The following is an 8,385-nucleotide window of genomic DNA, read 5'->3' on the forward strand; positions in this document are numbered from 1 at the left end:
CCTCTCCCTCCACACCTCCCCACAAGCCGAGGGAGCCAGCTCCGGCCTCGGCCAGCCCAGAGAAGGTCTCCCACGGTGCAGCGGCGGGCTGAAGGGCTCCTCAAGTGCGGCCAGAATGGGCGCCGAGGCCAAGGGGGCACCGAGAGCGAGCCAGGGCTGCGAGGGCCGCCATCACGCTGTCACCTCTCACAGGAGCGATATGGGAGAGGAGGAGGGGGAAAGCCAAAGGTAGGTCCTGATTTTTAGTTCTTCCATCTGGCAGCGTGGCTAACTTGGAGGAAATTCTGAAGTGGAACCCCAGCCCTAGAATGGTGAGGGAGAGGTTGCTGGGGAAAACGATGTGGAGGGCTTAATCAAGGGCAGAGGATACTCATTTTGGGATGTGAACATCCCTCTTCCTGCAGTAAGGCTCTCATCTCCTCTCTTTTGCAAGGTGACTCAATTAGACAACAGCCTGGTGGCTGTCCGTTCTGTCTCCAAGGAGAATACCAGGTGTGTTCCTTAATTTCAGTATTTGTTTATCTCCCCCTCCTCCTTTTTCAAAATCCATTCTGAGAGGTGTTTCTTCTCCATGATATCTCAGACTGAAGTCTTTTTGCCCTGATTTTATATTATTTTCTTCCAAGATCCCTTCATATTACACGGTTGTTCCACCAGGGTGGAAACTTTTCCATCCTCTGAACCTATAATGGTGTTTGGTACACAGTAGGGACTCAGATTTATTGAGTAAAAATTTGAATGCCAGCTTTTAAAAGAAACAGACTCTTAGGTGTCTCATTCTCGTTTGGTAAACACGCAGATAAAGGAGGAGGAGCAGCTAGAAAAGGGAACTAAGCTTTACCATGCTAAACCACGTGTTATTCACTTTTCCCAGAATGCCTCCTTTAGGGTTTATGGTACGTCCCATGAATGGGTATTATTATATCATCACACCATTTGGCAGATGAAGAAACAGAAGGCCAGAAAAGTTTCACTTGTCTTCAGTCACCCAGGCACTAAGCACAGAGCTGGGACGTGTACCTGGTATGTGAGGCTGAGCCACAGCTCCATCAGTTTAGGGTCACCAAGAGGATATTGATCTCAGTGTCAGGAGATTGAAATCTGCTGCAGATCTTATCACTAATTAGTGTTAGATTCTTGTTATGTAATATTTGAATATAGAGGTAATCATGGATTTCTACTAATTTCTTCTTCTTACTTGGCCTACATTAAGATTTCCTCTTAAATGTGACATTAGATCACATGGAGGGGTTCTTCTGAAGGCTGAGGATAACATAATGCAATTTTGTTTAATATCATTCCCATTCTGCACTGAATTTGTCTGAGTAAAATGCATGAATCTTAGATTTGAGAAATCGAGATCTAGGCTCTTTTGAGATACTTGTCATTCACTAGATGGCACTGTTGTATTAACTTTACTTATTTCCTAGCTCTGGTTTAAAACCTTCAAGAGTATATTTCCTGTGATACTGTAGTTGTCCAACTATCCAGACTTTCCAGGTGTTGGTACAAGGACAGTGTAGGGGACAAGCAGATATTGTGTATACATCTTTTTAGTATGGGTCCTAAGTCCTAGTTTAGATTTTAGGACTGTAGTAAAATGCAGTGGGCTCTCAGTATTTGCGGGTTCTGCATCCATGGATTCAACCAGCCAGGAATGGAAACTATTAAACGGTAGGGCACGATGGCTCATGCTTGTAATCCCAGCACTTTGAAAGGCTGAGGCAGGAGGATTGAGCTCAGGAGTTTGAGACCAGCCTAAGCAACATGGCAAAACGCTGTCTCTAGTAAAAATACAAAAATTAGCTGGGCATGGTGGTGGACACCTGTAATCCCAGCTTCTTGAGAGGCTGAGGCAGGAGAATCGCTTGAACCGGGTAGGCAGAGGTTGCAGTGAGCTGTTATTGCGCTGCTGCACTCCAGCTTGAGCAACAGAGCTCTGTCTCAAGAAAAAAAAGAAGAAAGAAAGAAAAAGAAAATATTAAACAACAACAACAGCAGCAAAAAACTAACAAAAATAATAATAAAACAAAAAATAATACAAGTGAAAAACAATACAGCCTGTTTACATAGCATTTACATTGCATTAGGTATTGTAAGTAATCTAGAAATGATTTAAAATATATAGCAGGAAATGTGTAGGTTATACGCAAATATGACACCATTTTATATCAGTGACTTGAGCATCCATGGATTTTTGTATTTTCTGGGGTCCTGAAACTAATCCCCCTCAGATACCAAGGAATGACTGCAGTAGTTTTTGGAGCAATACGTTAATAGCTGGATTCACTGACAGACTGAAAAATAATGTCTTGCTGGACATTACGAAGCAAAATAAAGTCTCACTGAGATATGGGAACTTTAGAGAAAAGGAATAAAAATATAGTTGCTTTAGCTCATAATCTATCTGGTCACTTCTGTAATCTCTGTTACAGACCCTCAAGACCATGTCACCGGGGCCAAGCATTTTCCTCTTTTAACTTATTTATGTGTTTGAGATCGTTAATGGAGGGTTTCTCAATCTTAGCACAATCAGTAATTTGGGTTAGGTAGTTCTAACCCAAACACAGGGATGGTCCTGTGTTTAGGATATTCAGCAGCATCCCTGGTCTCTACTCATTAGATGCCAGTGGCAGCCTCCTCTCCCTTCAAGTTGCAACAACCAAAAATGTCTTCAGTCATGGCCAAATATCTGGTGGGGAATAAAATTGACCTCAGTTGCGAGCCGCTTCTCTAATCCCTGTGGAGATTTGCCACATGAAGTCTTTTGCTTGGGGACAGGGAGAGTGACCTTTACTGATCTGACCACTGGAATTGGGAGCACAGGGTCTTCCTATCTCCAGAGTTTCCAGTAAGATGATTAGACTGCCAGTGTGATTGGGTTGCATTTCTAATGAGTCGAGGTGCCAACATCTGTTTGTGGTAATTGAGCACAGCTGTGATGCTGGCTTGGCTGACCCCTCCACAACCTTTCCCTGCCCCTCCAGGTATTTGAGCTGCCCCCAGCCATCCTGTCCCATCAACCTCTTGCAGGAAGATGCCAGCAAGGTCATTGTGTTTGCTGAGAGTGGTATCAATCCAGATAGTGTCCTAGATTTGATAATGCTGCATTGATTGGGACACAGTGTTCATTCTTGTAAACTGCCTCAGAGGCACAGAAAAAAAAATATGTGTATTGTGTAAAAAGGCCAAACACAACCAATAATAGCAACAACACTGACAACTCATGTATATTTATCTCACATGTGCTAGGTCATAAGAGCTTTATCCAAATAATTTCATTTATTCCTTATAGTAACTTTTTAATGTGGGTACTATATCAGTCACTTGTTGCAGCTTAGACAAAGATAGCAAGAGGTGGAATTAGGATTTATACCCAAGCAGCCAATACCAGAGCTTACACTGTATCCACACCATGTGGACTCAGTTTTCTAAATTTTATTTTAATTTTATTATATTATACAGACACATACTTGTTCATAAGTAACATAACATAAAAGTCTGAAAGCAAACATACCAAAATATTAACAGTCAGTTTCTCTCTGGGTGGTAGCATCAGGGGTGAGGTTTTTTGGTCTCCTTTAAACTTTTCTATATTTTTCAAGTTTTCTGTGTTAAGTGTTGATTATTTTTAATAGAACTTATATAGAAGTATTAAAAATATATGTGTTTGGGGGAGGATGATAGGAAGAGTGGCAGTGAGCTAAATGGATATTTGAGAAGCTGAGTCCTCCTGATTCTGGGGACAGAGAGAACAAGTTGACTACCTGGGGGCTGATGCCCCTTATAGATGTGCCAGTAGCCACTCTCTAGCTGAATTCACATTAAATGACATTACAACTTACCCTAGGGCATTGCAAACTTGGCGGGATTCTAGAATTTCTCTGAATAAATATATATTTTTTAAAAAAGTCTAGCTTGCTATTGCAAGACCATTTTTGTCTAAGGACAGCCTTGGGTCAGTCTTTGTTCAGGTGTACACTCATCGTGATGCCATTGTATCCCAAAGGAGGCTAAGCTTTGGCCAAGCTGTGGGATGGCTTGTGAGAGAAGTGTGATTTCCTGGCGGCCAAGTCACAGTCGCAGCTGCAATAGCTCCCACCCTTCTTCTGTCTCCATGGACAGGGTGGAGACCTCTCCTGGCTTCTCTACGGTGGGCCTTGGGAGTTTGGACCAGAGTGTGGGACCACCCAGAAGACACACCCACACAGATCTCTCCTTGCAGATGATTCTAGAGAGAAGCTTCCTTGGGGGTGAGAATGGCATTCTTATCTGAGGTCTGCTTAAAAGCCTCATACTCTTTTTCTTTTTCCCTAGAAACCTCATTACTTATGGAGCTGGCTAGAGGGAATGATAGCATTGGCTTTGCATAGAATGGAAATTGCAAGACTGGTAGGTCCTGCCCAACCTCATCCTCCTGGAAGTGGTGGAGGCTTCTGGTAACTACCAGTTTGGTTTGGACTTGGGGTGCCAATTCAGGGATGAAAGAGTCCGCCTCTCCTCCCTCATGGCCACCCACCTCCTTCAAAGGAATGTGAAGGAACAAAGATGTGGGTTAGCATTTTTCTCATGAAAGGCAGAGGTGACCAGAAAAGTAGGAAGCTACTGGGAGGCAATAATATTTTCAAAGACACATTATTCTCATTAATTTAAAACCCCAGCAGAGCCCCCAGTGGCTCCAGGTGTGGCGTTAACACCGTGTCTTTTAACTCAGTCCACTCACTCTGTCCCTTACTGCTCCTGGCTAATTAAAACCATAGGGATCTCAAACCCTATTCTTGGCAGTCTGCTTGGATTTCCCAGGTTAATTCCTACCCTTGATCTTCCCTAAATTGCTCCCACACAGCTGTATGCACATTCAGATTCAACGCTCCATCTTTCTTTGCTGATCTCAAGTGCCGACTTGGGCTTGGGCATATTTAGTTTCTCTGTTCTTAACACTCAGTTCTCCCTAAGATGCTGATGCTGATAATGTAATTGCTCTATTGGGGCATAAACATGAAATGGTTTAATTTTTTTTAATGAACTCTCAATCATGTTATGACAAATGCCTTTTTCAAATTCTGATGAGAGATTCTGTGATTTCCTGGCCATTTTTAGATGTTAAAAGCCAAGTCCCTTTGAAACATTAGTCTTTAATATGGTTTAAATCTTATCCCCAGAACACCTCCCTTCCCTCACCTGGCATAAGCTTGACCCATTGCCTGAGGTCTGAGGCTCTTCCGATGTTCTTCCTCTTCTCTCACCCCAGCACTTCGATGGGATTGAGTGTGGGGAGGACCTTCATTAAATTGCCATCTCTTCCTTCTTTCTTTTTGGTATTAACTTTGTTTAGATTGGAGGGCTTTGGGAGTCTGAGAGGAGAAGGTAGAGGCAGGTTCATATCAGGATAAAGTGAGATGCATATCATGATGGGGAGGTGGTCTTGGCTATCTTAAGGCTCAGTGTGATTTTGCCTCCTTCTGGTGACCTCTTCATGGCTGGTAAATTGAACAATCAGCTTCCACAGTTCTGCTCCATTGCTGAGGTTCCCCCAGAGAGGGAAGCCATGTCCCCTGAGACCTCTGAGGTTGGTCCATGTTTCAATCTCCTTTCTAAGGTGGCAGCTTCTCTCTCTCCGTGACCACCAGGATGGCCCCAGAGCTCCTGCTGTTTCGTATGAAAAAGCAGAGATCTTTGCTGCAGGAGAGTAGGGTGAAAGGCTCTCATTGTTTTCTTCTTAGGCACCCTGTACCATAGTCCCTTCTCACCCTGATGCAATGGGCCTCTCTGGTAAGCTTTACATCTTTAATTGGGCACTAGTCTCCATGTTCAAGAATATTATCTATCTTCAAGAGGTGTAGGCCAATTTCTTCCAATAACTCTCTATGAAAGCTGCATAAGACTGGTTCTGTAGCTCTGAAAGCTTCATTCTGGGAGCAAGATGCCAGTGCTCCTATCTGGCAGGCACTCCTAATCTCTCCAAGGATTCTTTTGAAACCCCTTGCTCTGGTTTAAATGTGTCTTCTAAAGTGTATGTGTTGGAAACTTAATCCCCAATGCAATGGTGTTGAGAGGTGGGACCTTTGAGAGGTGATTGGGTCTTATGAATGGATTAACAACATTATTGTAAGAGTGGTTTTGTTATTGTGAGAGTGGGATTGTTACAAAAGTGAGTTCGGCCACCTTTTGCTGCCTTGCTCTTTCACCTCTGGCATGAGATGAGCAAGAAGGCCCTCATCAGATGTTGACACTTTGACATTGTACTTCCCAGTCTTCAGAACTGTGAGAAGTAAATTTCTAATGTTTATGAATTATTCAGTCTGTGGTATTCTGTTATATAATAGCAGCAGAAAATGAACTCAGACATCCCTATTCCTTGTATTGGCGATGGGGACATTACATCTCATCCCAGACTCTGCATCCCTGACAAGGCCCAGGACCCCTGGCGGTGGAAGGGCAGTTCAGGCTTATTAGTCTCTGAGGGAGGTGCCTGGCCTCAGGTGTTGGCAGCTCTGTTTCAAATGTGGAGTTTATGGAGCCTCTTTGTCTACAGCTTTGAGCCTTTGTTGCCATGTTGGGGACACACGAATATTACCACTCAACATTCTGTTACTTTAGCTCAAACTTCTTGATTGTTACTTATATGCCAGGCCCTGTACTGGAATCTGCACTGATGAGTTTGTTTAATCTCAGTAACCCTATAATAGGAAACTATTATCATCATCAGCCTTTTACAGATGAAGGACCTGAGGCTCACAGAAATTGTGTAAAATGTCCAGGGTTATGTGGATAGGAAGTGGTAGAGCCAAGACTTGAACCTGGAAATCTGATTCTAGACCTGTGAGTTGAGAATTCAGCTTAAATCCTCTCTGCCCATGTCTTCCCATGGTCCCCATCATCAGGCTCCTGGCAGCTTTGGATATGTAGCCCCTTGCCACTCCCCAGCACATAGTTATACTCTGACTCTTGGCTCTTTGTTATGGTATCATTCTACCTAGCTGACTAGATCTCTAAAGAGGCAGTTCAAATACTAGGTAAAATATAAGCCTGGAGCAGCAGGCCAGTGAACTCAGGCAGAGGGTGGCTGGAGAAGGCCAGCTGGAACATTGGGGCTGGTATTGTTTCCTGCTTCAAAGTGTACCAAGCCCTGGAGAAGGTTTGGCAGGGAGAAAAGGAGAAGGTTTTGCTTGTATTGGATCCACATAAATTAGGAATACACGTTTGGTCAGTGCCAAACTTTTGCACAAAGTACCAATAGTGGGAAACACTCATGCAGTATCAAGCTAGTTTATTTGTATTCAAATTCTACCTCCTCCTTTCACTAACTGAATAATCCTGAGGAGCTCAGTTACTGCAGCAGAACTATAGTTTCTTTATCTCTGAAATAAGGAAGATTCTCCTTTCTTTCTTCATAGAGCTGTGGTGAGGTACAAATAGGATAACATGGAAAAGCACTTTGCACACAGATACACTGATATATGCAAATAAGAATTATTATTATCCAGAATGAGTGCCTCTCCTAGTGGGTTGCATAATTGAATAACTAATTAACCTTTTTTTAAATTGAAAGTCTATCATGTGCAAGAAATGTGTTGGAGTCTCCTGTTGATGATATAATAGATAAGGTTGAGTTACGGCCTTCAAGGACTTTGTAATTTTGTATTTGAGATGAAACATATTCATTAATAACTGTAATGAAGACAGTTTTTTGAATGTGCCATGAAAAAGTTATAGAAAAAAATGCTATGGAATTCGGAAGAAGGGGATCTTTTTTGACAGAATGATATCAGAAGGTTTTAGAAAGAGATGGTTTTTGAGGTAGATGTAGGGAAATGATTGATTTAGTTGGTAAGGAGTTCTTAGGAAAATACACAGCATGAATAAATGTACTTGTTAGAAAATTATATTGCCCTTGGTTGGTGTTCAGTAGAAGCATTTGTACTAGTCAGGCTTATCCGACAGAGAGACAGAACCAACAGAATCAATCAACCTATCTATCTGTCTATCTATCTATCTATCTATCTATCTATCTATCTATCTATCTACCTACCTACCTATCTAGATATGTGATAGGGGATTTATTAGGGGAATTGGCTCATGTGATTATGGAGGCTGAGAAGTCCCACATGGGCTGTCTGCAAGCTGGAGACTGGGGATGCTATTAACATGGCTTAGTCCAAATCTAAAGGCCTCAGAACCAGAGAAGCTGATTGTGTAATTGTCAGTCCAAAGTTGAGGGCCTGAGAACCCAGGGTGGGAGGAGCACTGGTGTAAGTCCTGGAGTAATAAAAGAGAAAGAGCCTGAAGTTCTGATGTCCAAGGACAGCAAAAGAAGAGTGTGTCCCAGCTCCAGGAAAAAGAAACTCAATAATCTTTTTGGGGTCCCAGCTGATTAGACAGTGC

Source organism: Homo sapiens, chromosome 14 (genome assembly GCF_000001405.40).
Source record: "Homo sapiens chromosome 14, GRCh38.p14 Primary Assembly".
Classification (NCBI taxonomy): domain Eukaryota; kingdom Metazoa; phylum Chordata; class Mammalia; order Primates; family Hominidae; genus Homo; species Homo sapiens.